A 22,195-nucleotide genomic window follows, 5' to 3' on the forward strand; every position below is an offset into this window, starting at 1 on the left:
GAGTGTTTTGTGTTGCCCATAGCAACAAAGTTTATTGCTGCTTCCACTTGCAGGAACTACTTCCACAGGCTTAACATCTTGAGTAATCTAAGAGCAGTGGGAACATTAGAGTGGAGGGGGTTGGAGAAAATCCAGTGAATTTTCTAGCAAACTAAAAGATAAACTGAGAACAACTGGATCCTAAATTTGAAGCATGATTTCAAGCCATCATGACAGGGTGGTTTTTTGGATTAATTGATACTTCCCTTTCATTAGAGAGATGAAGAAGCTACAGATGCATCATCATCGGGCTGATTCTGGAATAGTTCCTCTTTATCTTTTGTCATCTGTTTCTGTGTTTGGCTTTGATTTGATTCAACATTCATATGCCACCAGTCTCATCCAAATAGAAGCTGGACTGGCCACATCCCTCGTGACAAGTCAAGTCATTGATATCGGGCAGCTTTCTGGCCCTCTGTTAGCAACTGTGAAACATTCAAAGCAGAGACCTTCTGCTTTGTCCTACATGGACTTCTCTAACTGTGTTTCTGTTGTCCTAGCTCTTTCTGTTCCCATGTGCTCTTGCTTAAATCCATACAGGGCTGGAGTGTAGCTCTCAGTGCAGCCACAATGTACAAAGATAATGAACTCAGCTGGGGCCTTCTGCAAAATACTTTATTTTAAAAAAAAGTCTGCTGCCTCTGGATGTCTATAAATGGCCTTGACTCATGAATGACTGTCATTGCTAAGGTGGAATGAGTTTTGGGGGTGGATATCTTGGTCTTTAAGAGAGAAAAGAAAAACTTTAATCCAGAATGGTGCCTGGAAGACTTTCCTCCATTATTCATTAATCCTTTTACCTATAGCTTGTTCTTTTGTTACTGCATTCATTCAATAAGCATTTTTTGAAGTCTTCTTCTATAACAGGGATTGACTGGACACACAAGAATATGCAAGGTCAAATAGAAAATAATCCCAGGACCTACTCTCTGGGAGCATACAGCACAGTGGTGAGGCTTCTATACTCATTTCAGGTGTTTCTTTGTTCCTTTCCCTTTTTCTCTCCTAGCCCCTTCCTGCTGCCCCTTTCTACAGAAGTTACCTCACTCAGGTTTTGTTGTCAAATTATTAAAGTCACTCTAAATTTTAATTACAGTTCTTACAAGTTATTATTATTTTTACAAGTTTATCATTACTATTACATTATAATATCTATTTATTCCTTTATCTCTTTAATAACTTTTAGGATCTTTATTTTATAAGCTCCTTCAGATTTTTCTACTATTTCCAGTGGTCAGGCTGTACTTTTTCTCTTTGTTGCATCTGCTAACTATCCCTTATGGTATTTACTTTCCTTGTGTAGCTAGTAATTTTTTTTTAAATTTTGAGCTTATCTGTAGCTTTTGCTTACCTATGTGAAAGTCCCTGTGTTCTTCAGATTTCATGTTAATTTTACCAAAACCCTAGGGTTTCCCAGGCCTTGGGCCGGTTTTTATGTTAATTTCTCAACTTGAGTTTTCTATACCCATAGGTAGTATTAACTAATACTTATATCTTCAAGGAATAGAGGCCTGGGTTGTTTATTTTGCATAGATGTCTTTTTTTAAAAATTTATCTACTTAAGGCCCAGACATACAGCAAGTATCCTTATTGCCCCCACTGAGCCAGTGGACAGAGTAATTCTGTACCCTTCTAATGGGCAGGGCATTTCTGTGGTTCCAAGTTCTATGCAGGTGGCTCAGTTTGAGCGGTCACTTTGCATAAGCCTGAGGCCACAGTTTCTGTATGTGTCAGGTTATTAAAGCCCCTGTCTTAGTCCCTGGAGCCTATATCTGGGCTGAAGTTCTTGTGGGACACCATGGTACCAGTATGTATTTACTGCTCTGGTTTTCATTTTCCTCTTCTTATCTAATACTTGGATGTTTGTCTTTCTTTCAAGCCAAGCTCTGTGCTTTTCCTAAAATTTGGGGAGGAATAGTGCTATATTTTATCTAGACTTTCCATGTGTTGTAGCAGGACAGTTTCTTTTTATTTAGTTCTTAGTATTTTTAAAATATATTTTGAGTTCTTATAATATTTCAGGCACTGTTCCCACTCAGATTGTCATCACTTGGAGCCTTTGCAATTTTTCTAACATGTTTTCTTAGAAACAGCAAATTAAAAGGTAGCATGGCCAGTGATGCTGCAGATGGGTACAATGACACCAGCAAATAGAGCTCACGACTGATAACAACAAAGAGATGAAAAAAAAGTTACTAAACGCAAACAAAACCCTAAAAAACCATGATTTTCTTTCAGCAAATAATGTGAACAAACCAACTGACATGACTGTATCACATAATAACTTCATCTTATTACATCACAATAATATAATAGCTGATATTCACGATGATGTCTCTGTTGAGGAATCTTCCTGTAATAGAAACTGTATCTGCTGTTGTCATCATGTGTTTAAAGCATTTTGATATTCTATGGCAGCCACCTGAGGACTGTGAGAGCTCACACAACTAGGGGTATGGGAATGGAAACTGTGTGTGGCAGTGGTGGTTTGAACGAGTCACCAGGGAGAATATGGATGAGATATGATCTGTTGATGATCACATTGAGTTATGTCAGTCATATCTGTCCTAAAAATGAACTGAGAATTAGATGGCTCCAATTACCAGGAAACTAGAATTGAGTGGGAGGTCCGATGGGGCCACTGGTTTTAAAATGGGAAGAGTGGAATTGGAGGTAGGTAGGAGTAGTGTTGTTAAAAGGATCTGAGGGTAGCCTCGTGGACTCTAGGAAACATGGCAAAGCTGCCATTAATGTCCCACGCTGCCAGAAAGCCTGGGCTGGTAGCTTAAAATAATAGGCAAGAAGCCCAACTTCACCTGAGGCCAGAAGCCTCCTTGGAAGTTTGCAAGTGAACTTTCTTCAGGGGACTGGAACAAGACAAACAGAAGGGATCAAGGGGGAAAGGAAGATTCCAGAGGCCAGAGGATTATTGACCTCTGGGGAGCAGAGATGATTCCTGCCAAGGCGTTGGCATCCTGTTAAGACAGTGACTTTCTTAGTTGGGGCAAGGACCAGAGAACAATACTACAGTTCCAGGCTGCTGCAGAAGACATGGGTGGGGCTATTCTGAGACTAAAAGAAATCTGAGGAGGGTGCCAAGCCCCTCACTGAGAGAGAAGTGGAGCGAAAACAGCCCTGAGTCCTGAGTTGGTGACCAGGCTGGGTTGGCTCTAGGTGAATTTTTAAAGAGGGTGAAAATAGCTTCTAGAAACTTCCTTTTCTGCACCTCCTTCTGCCTCTTAGGGTGCTCTCTTCCTATCCTTAGCTCAGTTTCCTCTGTTTCCTTCTGGCCATATTAAAACTTTACCCCAGCTCCACCACTTCATGAAACTGTCCTCTTTAATATCACCAATGGATGTTAAATCCAGTGGAAACTTCTCAGTGCTCATCTTATTTAATATTGGCAGTGGGACTGTGATGCATTGAGGAGAGAATGGGTGATAAGGGTATAGAGATGTTAAAGGTATTTTATGTATTTTTGAGACGACAGAAGAGGTTTCTTCTACTAGCAGTTGGAGAATTGGGACCTCATGAACACTAGGGTCTTGAGTTTAGCTTGGCTTTAGGTCGGGTGGCTTCCTTCCCTAAAACCTGACCCAGACCCAGTGAAAAAAATGAGAAATACAGCAGTGGATAACTCTTTGTCCTGGTGAGCACAGAACTCAGAGACCACGAAAATGTGTATTCCCCTCTCTCTGGTCCCAGGTGACATTAAAGACTAATAATTTTCATTTATATAAATTACTTCTATTTTTGTATCTTACCTTATGAGGCAATAAAATTAATATATATATATATATATATATATATATATGCTCAATGAATGGGAATCAGATTAAGTTGAAGATTGTTTTGGATTTCATCACTTAAAAATGTCAGCCACTTGAGAAGGTTCACCATGTGATAGTGGGAAGTAGAATGTATGAGTTGATAGGTCTATTCCACTTATACCTGTGAACCTATAATGTATTTCCATCAATCCAAAATTATTCTTGGTAGCCAAAACCCCCCTGGAAACAACAAAATATCCATCAACAGGTGACTGGATAAACAAATTGTGATAATTTATATAATGGAAAAAATACTATTTTTTTTTTTGAGACAGGGTCTTGCCCTGTTTCCCAGGCTAGACAGTGTGGTGATTCCTCAAAGACCTAGAAACAGAAATACCGTTCAACCCAGCAATCGCATTACTGGGTATATACCCAGAGGAATATAAATCTTTCTATTATAAAGACACATGCATGCATGTGTTCACTGCAGCACTATTCACAGTATCAAAGACATGAAATCAACTTAAATGCCCATCAATGATAGACTGGATAAAGAAAATGTGGTACATATACACTATGGAATACTACACAGCTATAAAAAGAATGAGAACATGTCCTTTGCAGGAACATGGATGGAGCTGGAGCCCATTATCCTTAGCAAACTAATGGAGGAACAGAAAACCAAATACAGTGTGTTCTCACTTATAAGTGGGAGCTGAATGATGAGAACACATGGGCACATAGAGGGGAACAACACACACTGGGGCCTATCAGAGGGAGGAGGGTGGGAGGAGGGAGAGGATCAGGAAAAATTACTAATGAGTACTAGGCTTAATACCTGGGTGACAAAATAATCTGTACAACCAATCCCTATGATGCAAGTTTACCTATATAACAAACCTGCCTATGTGCCCTTGAACTTAAAAGTTAAAAACAAACAAATTAACACAAAAAAAATTTCCTTGGAAACTACCTATGACTACTCTTGATTGCACAAAGAGAGAAATGCAGGGACTTAGAGCTGGTAAATTGGCACACACTACTCCCACTTCCCTCCTTCCCTGTCCCCTCCCTGAACTCTATTGAATTTGTAATGATAGGATCTGTCACCTCCCCAAATTGTATTGTAAAATCAGAAAACATACATTCTCTGGAATTGACATTCCCATCTCGTGACCTCATTTGGCCAGAGGCTCAGCTGCGATTTGCCTGGAGGCTCACATCCCCTGTGTGGGCTGGGCTGACACCACATGACCTTCCCACCATTGCAATCTCTTGCACATGTACATTACACAGAATGCGAAGTGTAGGTCAAAAGAGGCTGCCAGGAATTTTTTTTTTTAAAGCTCCCTTCTTCTCCATGCTGTTTAGCTTGAAAACAGAATACTGCATTTGATATTTTTCTGTCACTGCCTTAAAGCTTCTGTGCAGGGAGCTGAAGCATAAATAAATGAACATACAAGTAAACCCTTTATTTGGAGGCAGGGAATTGTAAGTTAACTCTTGCTGTAACATACAAAGTTTTTCTACCAAACAATTTAGTTGAGATGGAGGACACCAATTTATTTGATCTCATCTAGGCCAAAGCCACTTGAAGAGAAAGGTAATGGCCTAAATCTCTGTTTCTAAGGTAATTAGAAAGCATTTGTGCTGACAGTTAACATGTAGCCTGTAGTGCCTCCCTTTCTGAGGGTCAGAGTTGGTCTTCAAAGAAAAGCCAGGTTTCATCAAGGAAGGCCAAATGCATTTCTATTGTTTAAGATCTGAGAATAGACATGAAACTCCGTTTCTGTGGCTGGACTGCTTTATAGTCATCCATTCAACAAATATTTATTGAGCATCTACTATATGCCAAGTATTATTCTTGGACTCTCAGGTCTTTGCATGTGGTCCCTTATGTGGTGGTGCCTTATATGGCTCTGTTATTTCTGTGTAGTTCAGCTCTTCTACCGGGCATTAGCACTTTTTGTTGGGCTTTGTTTTATTCACTCCAGTAGTTTTTTCACCTCTGTTGTCTCACTGGATGAGTTTTCAGGCCCCTCATGGTTGGTTAAATGTAGATGTTCTGTGATTGTGTGATTGTGACTTGAGCATAGAAATGGCCTGACCGACAGACCCTGAGTTGGTGGAAGGCACAGCAGCTGTGAGCTTGGGCTCCTGCTAGCTGACAGCAGCCAACTCCCCCTTAAAAAGCCAGGCAGGGCATGGTGGTGCCAATCCAAGAGACAGTAGGCTCTGGGGAGAGATGAACTTTCTTTGCTGTAACCTTGGATTTTGAATAACTACCTACGGTTGGCCAGTCAGTTGGCATCTCCATGCACACATATTGCTGGCTTACTCAAGTAGTGGGTGGTGTCCTTCATGCCTGCTAGCCTGAGTGAAATGTCTCAAGTTGACTTGTTGACAGCAGTTGGCAGAGACTATGAGACTGGCCCTGTGTTCAAGCCTGGGGGTCTGAGAATGGCCAGACTCACCAGGTGAGAAACCTTTACTCCTCTTTGTCGTTTTGCCACATCCTTTCTTTCCTTACCCACTCCAGATTTCCCCACAGAACCAGTCACCAGTGATGCAAGGGACAGCCATTAGCCGGCTGCAACCTAAAACCAGAGCAATACTTGAAATCTTTCTTTTAGGACCTAGATCCTCTTCAAGCCAGCTTCATGTACTTAAACAGAATTTTATAAAAGCTGGTATTCTTTGTTTACCCTGAGCTTAAGTCAAAGGATGCATATGCATCTGTGTACATTGGTGTGCATTCTAGTGTGTGCATATGTGTTTGCATGAGGAATGACTTTTTAAGGTTAAGCGTGAAAAAGAAGGGTAGTTTAGCATAAAATAATGATAAACATGGAACATTAAGCACTGATGGTGCAATGCTGCTTGTATCAATTAGCTCTTTGTGTGTAACAAATCAACCCCAAATTTAATGGCTTAAAGCAACAATCATTTGTTTGCTGAAGATTCTGTGACTTCTGCTTTAAGCTGGCTTGACTGGGACTGGATGGTCTAGAATGGCCTCACTCAAGTGTCTGGAGCCTCAGTGGGGATGCTTGGGACAGCTGGGATTGTTGGAGCCCCTTTTCCCACACAGACTCTCATTTTCCAGTAGGCCATACTGGGCTTCTTCACATGGTAGTGGAAGTGTTTCCAGCAGCAAGAAAGAGCAAGCCCCAATGTGCAAACTATTTTTCAAGCCTCTTCTTGCATCATATTTGCCAATCATCATATTTCTTATCATACTTATCATACTTTTTACATCATACTTGCCAAAGGAAGTCACATGGCCAAGCTTGGGATTCAGTGGGTAAAGAAAAAGACTCAACCTCTTGGTGGGGGGAGGTGCAATGAATTTCTGGCCATTTCTTTATAATCTATCACACTGTGGATGATGTCATAGGGAATAAGCACAGGTTTAGAGATGGGAGGCACAATAAAATTACAGCTCATCTGCTTAATAGCAAAATGACCTTAGACAATCACCTACCTCTTCTGAATCTCAATTTTCTCATCTGGACATGGGAAAACCACATCCACCACACTGGATGAAATGGGATGTTTCATTTATCTCTTTTTGTAATAGGCATGTGCTAAGCCTATGTGCCAGGCTCAGGCTATGTCAATCATGGGATATAGCAGTGAATATTCTGATCTCATCCTTATGGAGATGCCAATATGGATATTATTTGTGAAAGTGTTTTGAAAACAACAAATCGTGGTACAGATTATTAGTAATATGTGTCATATCCTGATGGGTTATCTTCCTTTCCCCCTTTTTTCCTTTGTAACATTTACTTTGCCACCAATCCTGGTACACTATGGAACCATAAAGGCCTACTTACCTGAGCAGACAGTTGGCCTTTGTTACAGAGTTGTGGACAGAGTGTGAACTGGCCCCACACAGCTTTTGTGAGTTGATTCATCCATCATCATTGTATAGGGGAGGTAACCACTGTGTCAAGCCTGACAGGGAAGAACACCATAGACATTGAAAGTTGAGGAGATGCCAGAGATTATCTAGTCCAATTTGTTCATTTTATAGGTTAGAAAACTTAGGCCTCAAGGGAGAATATGACTTATACAAGGTCACACAACTAGTTGGTGCCAATAACAAGATTCCTAGTGATAGTGGTCTCAGTGGCTTTATGTTTGTTTCTGTGTCTCCCTCTTACACTTTCAGCCTATTTTGTTCCAAATCATTACACACATACATGTGCCCTCCATCCAAACACAAACATAAACACACAATTGGGCTTTTAATGGAAATAATAATAAATGGAGCCTGTTCTCTTTATCTTCCACGTGAGTAAAAAAAAAAAAAAAAAAAAAAAAAAAAAAAAAAAAAAAAAAAAAAACTCTTCAGTTATATCTCCACATCTGACCAAACAAAGAAATATCAGTTGACCAAAACTTATATATATCTTTAGCTTAGAACTTATGGATTACTTTCATTTATTTTTCACCACAAGGGAGGACAGTGAGGGAGTTGGGCCACATATTTAAATCCCTATTTTAGAGATGTGGAAGCCAAGGTCCAGAGAAGTTGAGTGAGTTGCATGAGGTTGCAGAATTAGCAGTAGTAGCAGCAGGCCCAGGACTGTGTTCTTTCCACATTATGGGTCCACATTATGGGTCCAGTGGAAGATAGCTGGCCACCACAAATCTGTTTATTGTGAATGGGTTTTCCTTGGGGGCAAATGAGCAACACTTTATTTATTTATTTATTTGAGACAGAGTCTCACTCTGTCTCCCAGGCTGGAGTGCAGTGGTGCAATGTCTGCTCACTACAACCTCCACCTCCTGGGTTCAAGCGATCCTCTCGCCTCAGGCTCCCTAGTAGCTGGGGCTACAGGTGAGCACCACCACACCTGGCCAATTTTTGTGTTTTTAGTAGAGAAGGGGTTTCACCATGTTGGCCAGGCTGGTCTTGAACTCCCGACCTCAGGCGACCCATCGCCTCAGCCTCCCACAGTACTGGGATTACAGGCATGAGCTACCGTGTTCAGCCCAAATGAACAAAAATTTGCTTAAAAATCATACTGTTTAGGTGAAATAATTCTGGAATGGGTGTATGTGACCTACTGTTAACACATACCCAGATAAATGAAAAGAATTCTAGTTACAGTAGTATATATAATTATTAACAGAAAAGAAAATGTATTTAGCATCACTGATAACTCTTTTTGTTTCTATTTGCTACACATGCTGGATCTGTGTCCTCTTTTATCTGAATTTATCACTGACATATGCATTCTGAAAAAACACCAAATACACCTGATAGTTTATAAAATTTAAAAAAATTTTCTGTGCAAAATAATTGAATGTACCAACTTTAAGAGTTACCCACTTGAGAAAAGACAGTACGAAACAATACAGAGGAACACAATTCAAATAAATTCTGAATAATCTGGAAGACAGAACTGCTTCTAGAATCCTCTTCCAACATGAAGATATTTGTTTATCAGTATTTGGTTATTCATTTATGCAACATAGTTTTCCAAACTGGGGGAAAATGGGGTCTCTAACTTCAATTGCTTTTTAACAACTATTACACTAATTGGCGATTCTGTCTTGAGATTTAGTAACACAACAAATTCCAAGAGAGCTAGGAAAGTTTCAGAGTTACAATTATAAGCCCAAACTAAAACTATCTATAACCACTCCCCAAAATAGTTAAGATTTACTGGGGTGAGTACTAACTATGTATTCAGCATAGCACTGAGTATTTTACATTAATTACCTTATTTTGTCCTCATGCCATCCCTATAGGCTGCCCCATTTTGCACACATCACCATTTGATCCATGAAGAAATGGAGGCTTGGAGGGCTAATGACCTGTCTCACTAAGTGGGCAATCTGAGATATGGGGTAGAAGAAGTCGGACTGCTTTTGGAGTCCCATTCTCAACCACTGCTGCTGTAGGTCCTTGGAAAAGAGAAAGTAGAAACCAAGGAAATATTTCCACATACCAAATTCAAAAGGTCTTCCCTTTTGGAAACATAACTTTTCCATGATAGCAAATGCTGGCCACCCCAGCCTGACATTTCATCTTTGGGAATGGCAAATACCACTTCTGGTGCATATAGAGGGGAATTTAGCTTGGCAGATGCCTAACCTCAGTGCAAACAGGCAATAATCTCTTGACAAAAGGGCCACTGATGATCTGGGCTGAATAAGACATTGTGGTACCCTTCTTCCCCCAGAATTAGGGGATTCTGATGTGCACACACATCCCCTGGAGATCTTGTTAAAATAGAGACCCTGATTCAATGGGTCCAAGGAGGGTCCACAGTTCTGCATTTCTAACACACTTCCAACTGATGCTGATGATTCTGGTTACTGGGCCACACTTTGGGTAGCAAGGTGTTAATAAACCTCCACACACTTCAGTTAATCTCACCCATGCCTCAGTTTCCTCCTCTGTAAAGTGGAGTTAATAATAATATCACCCTCAAAGGATTGTAATGTATTTAAACAGGTAAAGTACTTAAAACAGAGGTTGGCATATGGTAAGTGCTCCATAAATGCTAGCTATCACTATTATTATTCTTTTATGCCCTCACATTTTTCTTTTTGAATTCTATACCAGCTTACACCCACGGGCCGTATATTAACAGTAGCTTAGCTTTCAAACTGCATTATCCTGGCCCTTCCCCTCTGCTGTTGGAACATCTGTGCAGCAGTGAATCAAGGCAGCTCTCAGACTTCCATACATGCTCCTTACATGTGCAGCAGGCCTTGCCACACTGCCCACAATTCCTGCTGTTCCCACTACTCTGTAGCTCTGCCCTATGTATTCATGGGTTTGTAGAACCTTAGAGTTGGAGTGGGTTTAGGTGGTCAGTTAGTCCTACTTAATAGGAAGGGTCTCATGCCATACTTGCCACCTAAGTCAAGGACCTGGGCACAGGGAGAGATGGACAGGATAAAGTCCCTCACTGTAAGAGTTGGAATGATTCAAAGCAAGCCCACCTGCTCTCTGCCCATTTCTGTTTGCTGTGCTGAGACATCTCTGGAAAACCCTTGTGCCCCAGGAAATTTTCCTTCTCACACAGAAAACTGTCCCCTCTCTGGTCAGCTCTCTAAGTTATGGAACAGGGGTCTTCAGAATGGGGCATAAAATACCAGGGGGGGCAGGCGTGGTGCTGTGTGTGCCTGTAATGTCAGTTACTTGGGAGGCTGAGACAGGAGGATCACTTCAGTCCAGGAATTTGAGACCAGCCTGAGCAACATAATGAGACTCCATCTCAATAAATAAATAAGTAAATAAAAGTCCAGGGAGTAATGAGATAATCTATTGGGGAAGAAGAAGGAAAGAATTAAACTTATCTTTATATTTACTTCTTTACCTAAAACATAAAGAAATCAAGCACAACCAAATATATGATACCTAAATTGGCTTAAGTGAATGCATATGCTTTCTATATAAATGTATATCTATTGAAATGGGCCTAAAATGTTTTGCCATTAGGTGTGAACAATCTAAAATGATTTAGAGATCATGTCTAGAAACTATAATGTTCACCTCTTCATGGATGGGAAGATAAAATGTCTCTGTGGCAGAAACAATTCTGGTGTCCACCACCCTTTCATTTTCTTCCTGGGAACCCAAGAAGGAAAGGCTCTTTCCCAGCTCCTTTGCATTGATGTGGGGTCATGTAATTAGTTCTGGCCAATGGAAAATGGGGGGAAGTGCTGTACTCAGCTCCCAGGCTTGGGCCCCCTCAAATAACTTGTGAGATCCTCCACTTGGTCTGAGTCTTCTCCAATCAGCTGGTGGAATGCAGATGGTTTCAAAATCTGCCAGTGGAGAGTGGAGCCATCAGTGGAAGGTACCTGGGTTTGATCTAGGTGGGAGGAGTGCTCCCCAGAAGAGCAACTCACCTAGGAGTACCTGTGATGAACTTTGCGTGAAGAAGCAATGAGCATTCATTGGTCTAAGACACTGAGATTTCAGGGGTTTCTTGTTACTGCAACATAACCTAGCCTATTCTGACTAATACATTTCCCTGTAACTCACCCTCCTCCCTCAATTCCATTGCCTGGGTGTCTCATTGGCACCAGCCAAAGACCTTCTAGATCCTGGATATTTAACTTCTTAAGGTCTTTAGCACTAGGGAGGTTGTAGCACAGAGTAGAAGTTAGAATCAAACTCTGAAGTCAGACTACCTGGGTTCAAATCCCAACGATACCACTTATTAACAGTGTGATGTTTTCAAAAGTCACTCAGCCTCATTCTCACTTTATTTCCTTATCCAAAATAAAAGATGGTATTAATGATTTTATAGGGTTATTAGAAGAATTAAAACAGAAAATCCTCTCAAGGCAAATTAACATATGTTATCTACATGCCTGACTGTTATTATATGCCTGATATATAGTAAATGTTTAATAACTGCTAACTTTTGGTAGTGGTATTATTGCAACTGCAAAGTTCCCTGCCTTCTCCAGCTACAAAGCCCTTCTCACAATAAAATGACAAATATCAGTGCCCTCCTCCTGCCTGTGTCACTGCCTCCTAACCATCTTCCCCCAACCCCCAGCCCTCAGAAGGACCCTCTAGTCCCCGATTCCACATATCAGAAATCAGTGGGGAATTCCTGAAGGGCTTTAGCTTCTCCAGTCTCTGCCTCTACGCATAAAAACTGAACAGAATCCTGATGATAGGTTACACTGCCTCTTCTGGAACCTGTTGAGCTGCAGGAAATTTAGTGGATAGCCTCTTTACTATGGTCTGAATGTTTGTGTCTCCCCAAAATTTATATTTTGTAATACTAACCCCTGAGGTGATACCTTTGGGAGATTAGGCTCTGAGGGTAGAGCCCAAATGAATGGGATTAATGCCCTTATAAAAGAGACCCTGGGGAGTTCCCTTGCTCCTTCTGACATGTGTGGACACAGCAAGAATACACTATCTATTATCCAGAAAGCTGGCCCTCACCAGACATCAAATCTGCTGGCACCTTGATCTTGGACTTCCCAGCCTCCAGAACTGTGAAAAAATAAAGTTCTGTTGTCTGTAAGCCACCCAGCCTATGGTATTTTCTTACAGCAGCCTGAATGGACTAAGACACTCTGCCATTATTGCAATAGACTGATTCAGAATTTTTTTGTACATTAAATGGAAAATTGTCTCCTTCTTAACTGAGAAAAAGCTTACCAATTAGCCCAATGCTTATCAAATTTTAGTGAACATTACAATCGCCTGAAGAGCTTCTGAAAACGGAGTGCTGGGTTCCACTCTAGAGTTTCTGATTTCATAGGTCTAGGGTGGACACACAAATTAGTAAGTCTAACAAGTTCACAATGATACGATGCTGCTGGCCTGCGGACCATGCTTTGAGTAATTCTGTGTTAGTCTATTTGACAGCCTTTTAACTATTTAAATACAGTGAATGCGTCCTCCACCACTTTCCCCAGTCACTTCTTTTCCAGGTTAAAACATGTTAGGGCCTTCAATTTTTGTTATCCTGCATCAAACTCTATTCTTGGTCCTGGGTATCCAAAGATGAAATGTACTTAGACTTTGTCCTCAGAGAGCTTAGAATTATGTGGAAAAATAGAGAGAAAAGGAATCCAGTATACTGTGACCACAATAAATATTTACTTTATGACTACTATGTGTCGTGATTGTCCCCAGAGTCTGGTGATTCAACCGTGAAAAAGATGTCATAGTCCTTCTTCATGGAGCCCTCAATCCAGTGGGGGAAACTGACCAGTGAACAGGAGATTATAGTCCAGCATGATAAGGGTGTGGAGAGGAAAAGTCAGGGAGCTCTGGGAGCACAGAAGGGAGATCTCAAACCCCAGCATATGGCTGGAGAGTCAGGGCAGGTTTCCCGGTGGAGGCGATGGCTAGGACTGGACATGGAAGATAAATAGGCATTAAGCAGGTAAGGGATGGGGTGGGATTTTTAGGCAAAGTGCTGAGGCGCACAGGAACCTGCTGAAAGTTAGGCTCAGTGGGAAGTGCTATGTGGCTTAAAAGAGAGTACAGACAGGTCCTATGGGATTGGGAGGAGCTGGAAGACTGATAAGAAGTGTGGGAGAACAGGAGAGACTACCACTTCCCAGGTGATGTTAGTGAGCCCTGACCTCTCTGGGATCAGCTGAAATTACAGATCCATACCCCACGCCCAGTCCACTCTCCATTTGAAGGATAGAGGGCAGTTTTGCCCCTGTGTTATCTAGACAGTTGGAGGCATGACTTGTGGTGGAGGAGAGCTGGCCCATGGTTAAACATTGTCCAGAGCCCCAGCGGGACATGTCTGACAGGGGGACTTCCTTCCTGCAATAGGGCCAAGGGCATTGCCTTGGGTCATGAGTGTGCTACAGTGTGTAAGTGGCTGGGGCGGTGGGACAGTTAGAAAGAGCTCAAGGGGAATTTAATGGGCAAAGTCACAGTGGAGTAGAAAAGATGAAGCAAATGAAGAATTCAAAGTATCCCATGGTGCTCTACTCTAATTGAGAGGTTGAAGAGCCTGGGTGTCTGCGGGGGGTGGGGGGCAAGATAGGGGGTGTGGATGGAAGGAGGAGTGAGGAGGGAGAGAAAGAAGAAAGTGGAGAGTAGGGGGAGGGAGAGAGAGAGGAAGAAGGAGAGAGAGAGAAAGAGAGAGTGAGCAAAGGAAGGAGGGAGAGAGGAAAAAGGAGCGAGGTCAGGGAGAGAGAAGAAAAGACAGAGACAAGGAGACGGAAGAGGAAAGGGGAGAAAAGGAGTGAGGGTGGGGAAGAGAGAGTGAACAGAAGAAGGAGGAGAAGGAGGAAAGAAAGGGAAAGGAGGAGGAGAGTGAAGAGGGGAGGAGGGAACAGAGAAAAGCAGTCTGCCCAGAGGCAGAGCTAAAGATTTGACTGTGTTGGTTAGGCAAAGGAACACTTCAGCAGGATTTTGAACACGACTGTTTTTAAAGGAAGTGATCCCACAAGTTGGGGGAACCTGGTAGAGGGAAAGGAAGGAAAACACAGCCTCTACATGCAAACAGGCCTAGGTTTGAGTTCTATCTCTAGCACTGACTTGCTGTGTGAACTTGGGCAAGTTGTTTAAATTCTCCGTATCTCAGAATCCTTATCTGTGAGAGGAAATAATAAAAGCCAGTTCTCAGGGTTGTTGGGAGACTTAAAGGAGGTTCGGATGTGTAGCTCCTGGCACTTAGTTGGCACCCAGAAAATGTATGCTCCTGTGCTATGTATGTCCTCTCTTGGAATCCAGAGAACTCAGCCACGACCCCCATCAAGCTGAGAAGAACTGAAATTCCAAGGCTGAAAAAGTTGATGGAGGGAACTATCTCTTGCTTTGACCCTCTGCCAAACTGAGAGTGTAAATGTTCAGTTGTTCTGTGAGCTGACTGTGTGCCTTGGCTCAAAGTGGCAGGTAGCCTGGGAATGCTGGGAGAGAAGAAAGTCTGGTGCTCAGAGAAATGAACTCAGATAGAGAAAGTGTCCCCCTTTTCAGAGCAAAGAACAAAGCTAAGATTCACTAATAGGAAGACAGGGCCCTGGGCCTTGTACTCAGCAAGAATGTAGAAAGCTTTCTATTGCCATTTTGTAGATTATACTGTAAAGGTGAGTGTGTTTACAACGTATCATAGACTGTGGATAATGATTTGAGCATCATTTTATAGTTTGATATAACTTTCACTGACATCATTTGTTCAGCCATTCAACAAACATTTACAGAGGGCCTAGGTCAATCCACACACTCATTGTCTTGGGTATTCACCAATAGCACTTTTAATTTGGCTCTCCTTTGGGGATTCTCCTGGCCTTCTGTTGATGTGAATAGTTAGGAATGACCCTAATTTCTTTCCCACTTCAGCTAGGCCTGAGGAAACTTCCATTTGCATTCCTTCCCCTTTGGTGATGCCTGAGTGGTTAGCTGGCTGTGGATAATCAATCCTGCTGGTTAATGAGCTGAGCAAAGAGGTTAAGGTCACAGTTTTGATCCCTGGGGGCTGATTTACCCTCTCCACTTGGGTGCACTGTCCTTCTTTCTCTACACCCACCGTGTATGTTTCCTCCCACCTCAAGGCCTTTGACAAGTTTTTTACTCTGCCAGAAGTTGTCTTGCTTCAGCTCCTAATTATTGATATTCAGTGTCATTTCCCCAGCCAAGCCTTATTCGCTCCCTAGACCTAGTCAGGTGCTTCAGTTTATAACCCATGGTGCCTTGTATTTCTCTAGCATGGCATTTATTAGTGTTTATAATTATCCTTTCATTTTTATTATTATTTGATTAATGTGACCTATTGTTAGCATAGAAAGCTAACAGGAAACAAATATTGAGTGAGTATTTAAATCTTATCTCTGTATTCTTCAGCCACATGACCTTGGGCATGTTACTTAATTTCTCTGGGGCCAGTCTTCTCATCTGTGAAATAGGTATGATGATATTTGAACTTACTGCCCAGTAAGTCCTTGTGTCATGTAGGGTAGTGTTCAGCTGCAAGTAGTAGGAAACCGGACTGATTGTTCTTTAAACACATGGAGTTTATTTAACTCCTATACCAACATAGGCAGTCCAACACAGCTCTAGTGGCTTGATGATGCCATATAGAGCTCAGATTCATTTTCATTCTTTCTCTGCTTTCTATAGCAAGTACATTTAATCCTCATGTTTACAAGGTGACTGCTGCTACTCCAGGCATAGTATCTGTATTCCAGTCAGAAAGAAGGAGAAAGAGGGAAAGTGAGCATCAATTGACTACTGTTAATATCTCATTGGCCAGAACTAGTTCACATGGCCACTCCTAACAGCAAAGGAGTTCAAAAGTTTTTTTTTGTTTTGATTTTTGTTTTTTTGCTTTTACAACCTGTAGAGTAGAGGCAAGTCATAGAGAAATGGTAAGCCAACTAAAGACGACTGTATGCCCTAACTGAACTTCAATATCTAAGATGGAAGGAACCATGCTCCTTTTGTTCACCATCGTAGGTTCACCTTGAACAATGTCTGTCTCACTGTAGGCACCCAAGAAGCCTATCGTTAAATGTTAATGAATGAAAAAATGAACTCCTGTAGAGACCATCTCCCAATTAGGTTTTAAGAGGTACTAGACAAGGATAGATGAATCAGTGCCATCTTAACATCACAGGTAGGAAGAATTTAAAATAGACACCACCATCAGACACCACCATCACCATCAGGGGCCCCACTAGCCTTTACATTGCCTTTGCATTAATTACAAAAGGGCACCCACCCCTTCCTTAAGACACATTACTGCCATCTACTGGAAAATTTTCTTAATATAATTGTAAGTCTACGGTATCTAAGATGTGAATGGTGCCCCCTTAGATGCAGAGAGGTCATTCACCAAAAAATCTACACAGCCCTGTGTAGCCACCTTGCAGGAAATTTAAACACACCTCGCCAGTAGGGTGGATGTAGCCAATGAAGGAGCCATCACATCTGTCTCTTGAAGCATAGAAGGCGGAGCAGGGGGGTGTATTTTCATGGAGCGGTCTGAAGATTTTAGCAGGGCTGATAGGAACTTGCCTTAGGTAAAGACTTATTCTGACAAAGCAGGGATTTGGTGAGAAGAACAAACAGTGTATTTGACTCTTGCTTTTTACTTTCTGCCTCTATAATACTAGAAAAATCACTTAATTCCTCTAAATTTTTATTTCCTCATCTCTTAATTGGGGACAAGAACACCTGCCCCAAGAGATGTGTTGAGTATCCAACAAGGTAATATACATGAAAGGGTTGGGAATCTGCTCTTGATTAGAAAATGTAAGCTATTGTTAGCATGGAGAGTTAACAGGAAACAAATATTGAGAGAGTGTTCAAATCTTATCTCTACCACTCACTAGCCACGTGACCTTTGGCATGTTACTGAATTATTCTGGGACCAGTCTTCTCATCTTTAAAATCGAATTAGAATTTACTGCCCAAGAAAGTCATGAGGATTAAAGGTAGTAAGTGTTCAATAAATGTTAAGCATGAACTTTAAGGCAGTTGTGCCTTGCATTATGCTCTGCATTTTGCATTCAGTATTACATTGAAATACTTGTTTAAATTACCCTTGACTTTTTAAAAAGAGGAAAAAAATAAAATGAAATGAAACAAAAGGGTTCCTAGGCCTTTTTGTGAAGAGAGTTGAGACTGTGGGAAAAGAAGGATTCAGTACATTTTTTGAACTCTGGATCTGTTGTGATGTCTCTGAGGAAAACTTTCTCTTCCCCTCCCCACTTCATGCCACCTCCAAACACTTTTTGGCCAAATCTAGAGCTGATCTTGCTAGATTATAGCTGGAATTTCTCATGAAGTAGTTATTAAGATTGATTTCATGAAAACTTCACATGATTTATAGAGCAAATAGAGCAAAACGGAACCAAGGGGAAGAAAAGGCCAGCCAGGTAGGCAGGCAGAGTGGGGCAGATCAGGCAAGCAGAATGTTGGTTCCCACATGTTCTGGTTCTCCCTTCTGCTACCCTCCTCCCTGCAGCCCCTCTGGTGGTGGGGCCCTGTGATTGCTGAGAAAATCCGTTCAGATTGTAGTGCAGTGAAATAGGAGGGCAGAGGAGTTTGAAGCAGAAAGCAAGTAACAAAGTTGTTAATTCAACTGTTATCTAATGGCCGACTTTCTCATGCACAGTCTCCCCAACCCTGATCAGCCTAACTGTCTAGTGACTATATTTTATCTTCTTCACCACCACTAATCTTCCCCCTAATCTCTTCAGTGTGTAGGGCTATGGGGGAAACAAGATATTGTTCCTTCATTTCTCAAGTCACATTTCAGTGAAGTAAACAGCACTTTCTTTTCCTTCCTTCTGTCCCATGAAAGCTATTTTAGAGAAACTATGTTGAGCACCAGAGGTTCCTGGGCTTGGTTGCTATGTGGCCTGAAGCTGACATCTTGTGTGTGTGTGTGTCATGGTTTATGGTAGAGTGGTTAAAAATCAGCTCCCATTCTGGTGACTAAATTTTATTGACTTTTCCAGGGCCTGTGGTGGGACTGACATGTCCCCTATTTAATTACTTCCTTCTTCTTGACAGCAGATTGAGTTAACCAGAGGACATGCAGGTGGCTCCGGGGCCAGGGAGCTTGGAGTGGCCGTGGCTTGGCAGCTGAGAGGGGCCAGGGCGAGCACAGGCCTGGGGATGTAACAACCTGCTGGCAGTTGTGAGCTGTGGGTTTTATGACTGCACTGGGGGTAATAACCGAACAGTGGGGCTTTTGGACTAATTTGAAGAATACTTTGCATAAATCCCAGCTGCTAGCCATATGTCCAACCCTTGTAGAGGGGAGGGTATGTTTCCCTGAGCTCTTGTTTATTTTCCTGGAAGTCAAGACTAACCAAACCTTTAAATGCCCAGCCGGAGTCTTTGGCGGAGGAAGATTGGTCACAAAAGCTTGAACTGATTTAATCACAATCTAAATTTATATTATATTTTACCAGATTTTCTCTTCCAATGATGTTGTGTCATTTTGTCCTCACAAAACCCCAAAATATAGGCCATGTAGAAATCCTCCATTTACCCATAAGAAGACTGAGACCCAGGGAGACTGAGACCAATAATAAAAGCAGCCATTTTGGAGTTCACTATATGTTAGACACTTTTCTAAATCCTTGATAGGTGTTCATTCATTTCATACTGACATCAGTCCTACAAGGCAGGTACCATTATTATCCCTATTCCTTGATGAAGGAGATGAGCCCAGAGAGGTTACTTAACTTGCCCAGGGTCACACAGATAGTTAGTAGTGGAGCTGGGATTCAAACCTAGGCAGTCTGGCTCCAGAGTCTGTATTTAAAACCACTATACATGCTGCCAGCTAGCTTGGCATTGGTGTAGCTGGAATTCGTATTCACGTACTCAACTCCAAGTTCAGGTTTTCCCTAATGCCACACCACTCTTCTGAAATTTGCTCCTTAAATATCTCTTATTCCTGCAAACATTAGCCACAGCAATTTAGATTTGGACTCTTTTCATCTGGTATCGCAAAGTCTTTCACTTAAATTTATTTAATTAGTCCCTCCCTACCTACTTACTGTGGAGTCAGAGGCATACCCAGTCTAAAGGAGTTGTAATGTGTTAGGAAATTACTCCCAGACTAAGGCTTTGGAAAAATACAGGTATATAGGTGTTGGGAGTTGCTAAAGCCTGGCAGCCTCATATCTGGAACAAATATTTTCTCTCTCCCCATTTCCTGGGAAGAATGGGTGTGGTTCTCACAGCACTGTCTGATTTTGTGAGCATGTGCACTCCAAAGTTTCACACAGAGTTGGCCTCTCCCTTTGGGAAAAGGTAATTCCAGCCCCTACTCCTCTGGCAATTACGGGCCTCTTAGCCTGTGGTAAGTGTGAACAAATCAGGCGAAAGGGAGGGAGTTGTTTTAATGTGATAATATCTCTAGCTGCCCATGCTGACTTTCTCACGAGAGGAAAAACCAGCAAAAGTTTTGTTCTGCATTCACTGGTGCCCCAAAGAAAACCCTGGGGGAAGGCCGGGCGCGCCTGTAGTCCCAGCACTTTGGGAGGCTGAGGCGGGTGGATCGTTTCAGGTCAGAAATTTGAGACCAGTCTGGCCAACACGATGAAACCCTGTCTCTACTAAAAATACAAAAATTAACCGGGTGTGGTGGCGGGCGCCTGTAATCCCAGCTACTGGGGAGGCTGAGGCAGGAGAATCGCTTGAGCCTTGGAGACAGAGGTTGTAGTGAGCTGAGATCATGCCACTGCACTCCAGTCTGAGTGACAGAGTGAGGTCCTGTCTCAAAAAAACAAAACAAAAACAAACAAACAAACAAACAAAAACCTTGGGGAAGCCTCCAGATTCTTATATCTCATAGCCAAAACCAATGTAGACCAAACCCCAATTCGAATTTGTGATAATGACCAAAAAGCAAGAGTATGACTCTCATTTGCAGATCTGGATAGCAGTTTTCTTTCCTCATTAGCAGACAAACTCTGTAGGCAGGCATTGGGTAACATGAAACAAGGAACATGACATAACTTTGGCAGAGAAACCATCATAGGAGAGTACTAGAAGGGGAAGGACAAAATAGTTTGGGTTGTAGTGATAATTTGTCATATTTACTTAATTTATTTGGTGACTATTTCTCTAAGTTAGATTCCCCCAGATGCAGATCCTGCCACAAGAATTTGGATGCAAGTTTTTTATTTGGGAAGTGATTCCAGGAAGCATCTTTAGGAAGTGGAGAAGTGAGACAGGGAAGAGAAAAAAAAAATTCAGAGTGTCAAAATAGGTTATCACTGTGGGCAACTGAGACTCAATCCTGCTGGGGACCTCAGGTAGATGGTGTGGAACATGCCTTAAAGTCTCACCTGAGTGGCAAGGAGGCTGAGGTATTTATCCACAGTCTCCTGTTGGTCATTGCTTTAGAGTTGCCTCTATGTGTGTTGATTCATTAGCACTGTGGCCTCTCTCACCTGAGAACATCTCATTTGCTTATAGTAAGAAGGCATCAGGCTACATGGGGACAGTGAGTGCCAAGGTAATATGGGCAGGGCACTGATACTGTCTACTTAAGAACCAAACCAGTTTGTGGAGGAGGAGGATATAAGGGAAGACATATTGTAATTAAGATTATTTCAGTTGCAAGTGATAAAATCCCAACTCAAACTAGCTTGAGAAAAAAATAAAAGCAATGTATGTGAGTTATATCACTGAAAAGTTCAGGGGTAAGCAGTCTGAGGCATAGCATAGCTAGCTTCTATCCATCATTGGCTTAAGGTTTCTCTTACGTGTGTTAACTCACTAGCACTCTGGCCTCTTCCACCTATGGGTATAATAGGTGCACAAGCAATGCCATCAGGGCTCTGTCTTCTGTACGTCTCTTGTTCTGCTTTCTTCTGTCTTGGCTTTATTATCTGGCTGGCTGAGAAGAGGGTGGAAAAGATGGCACCTCTAGGCTTATATGATCCTTATTCCTGCTGGCCCTAGAGGAGAAGAGCATTTTTTTTTCTGATAGCACTGGTTAACATCTTGGGGAACAAAGGTAATGAAATCAGCAAATTGAAGAGATGTCTGTATGCCCATGTTCGTTGCAGCACTATTTATGATAGCCACAATATGAAATCAACCTAAGTGTCCACCAATGGATGAATGGATAAAGAAAACGTGATATACATGTACACAATAGAATATTATTCAGCCTTAAAAATGAAGGAAATCCTGTCATTTGCAACAACACAGATGAACTTGGAGGACATTATGTTAAGTAAAATATGCTAGTACAGAAAAAAAAATACTGCATGATATCACTTATATGTAGAATCTAAAAAAGCTGAATTCAGAAGCAGAGAGTAGAGTGGTGGTTCCCAGGAGCTGGGAGGGGAGGAGGGTTGGGAACATGTTGGTCAAAGAATACAAAATTTCAGTTAGACAGGAAGAATAAATTCAAGAGATCTGTTGTGCAACATGGTGA

At 41.9% G+C, this 22,195-nt stretch overlaps 1 long non-coding RNA gene across 1 annotated transcript in view, besides 1 other annotated feature; it reads left to right on the top strand.

Annotated features, from left to right (window-relative positions):
• LOC124905177 (uncharacterized) overlaps window positions 1–22,195 on the top strand; it is a 148,876-nt gene that overhangs the window by 97,788 nt on the left and 28,893 nt on the right. The gene's annotated exons all lie outside the window — the stretch shown is intronic.
• Window positions 1,627–1,836: a silencer, noted in NCBI's record as "silent region_20738". NCBI's record gives its function as "represses an Ori minimal core promoter by ATAC-STARR-seq in GM12878 lymphoblastoid cells {active_cell/tissue: GM12878}" and the evidence as "EXISTENCE:reporter gene assay evidence [ECO:0000049][PMID:35858748]".

Source organism: Homo sapiens, chromosome X (genome assembly GCF_000001405.40).
Source record: "Homo sapiens chromosome X, GRCh38.p14 Primary Assembly".
Lineage (NCBI taxonomy): Eukaryota > Metazoa > Chordata > Mammalia > Primates > Hominidae > Homo > Homo sapiens.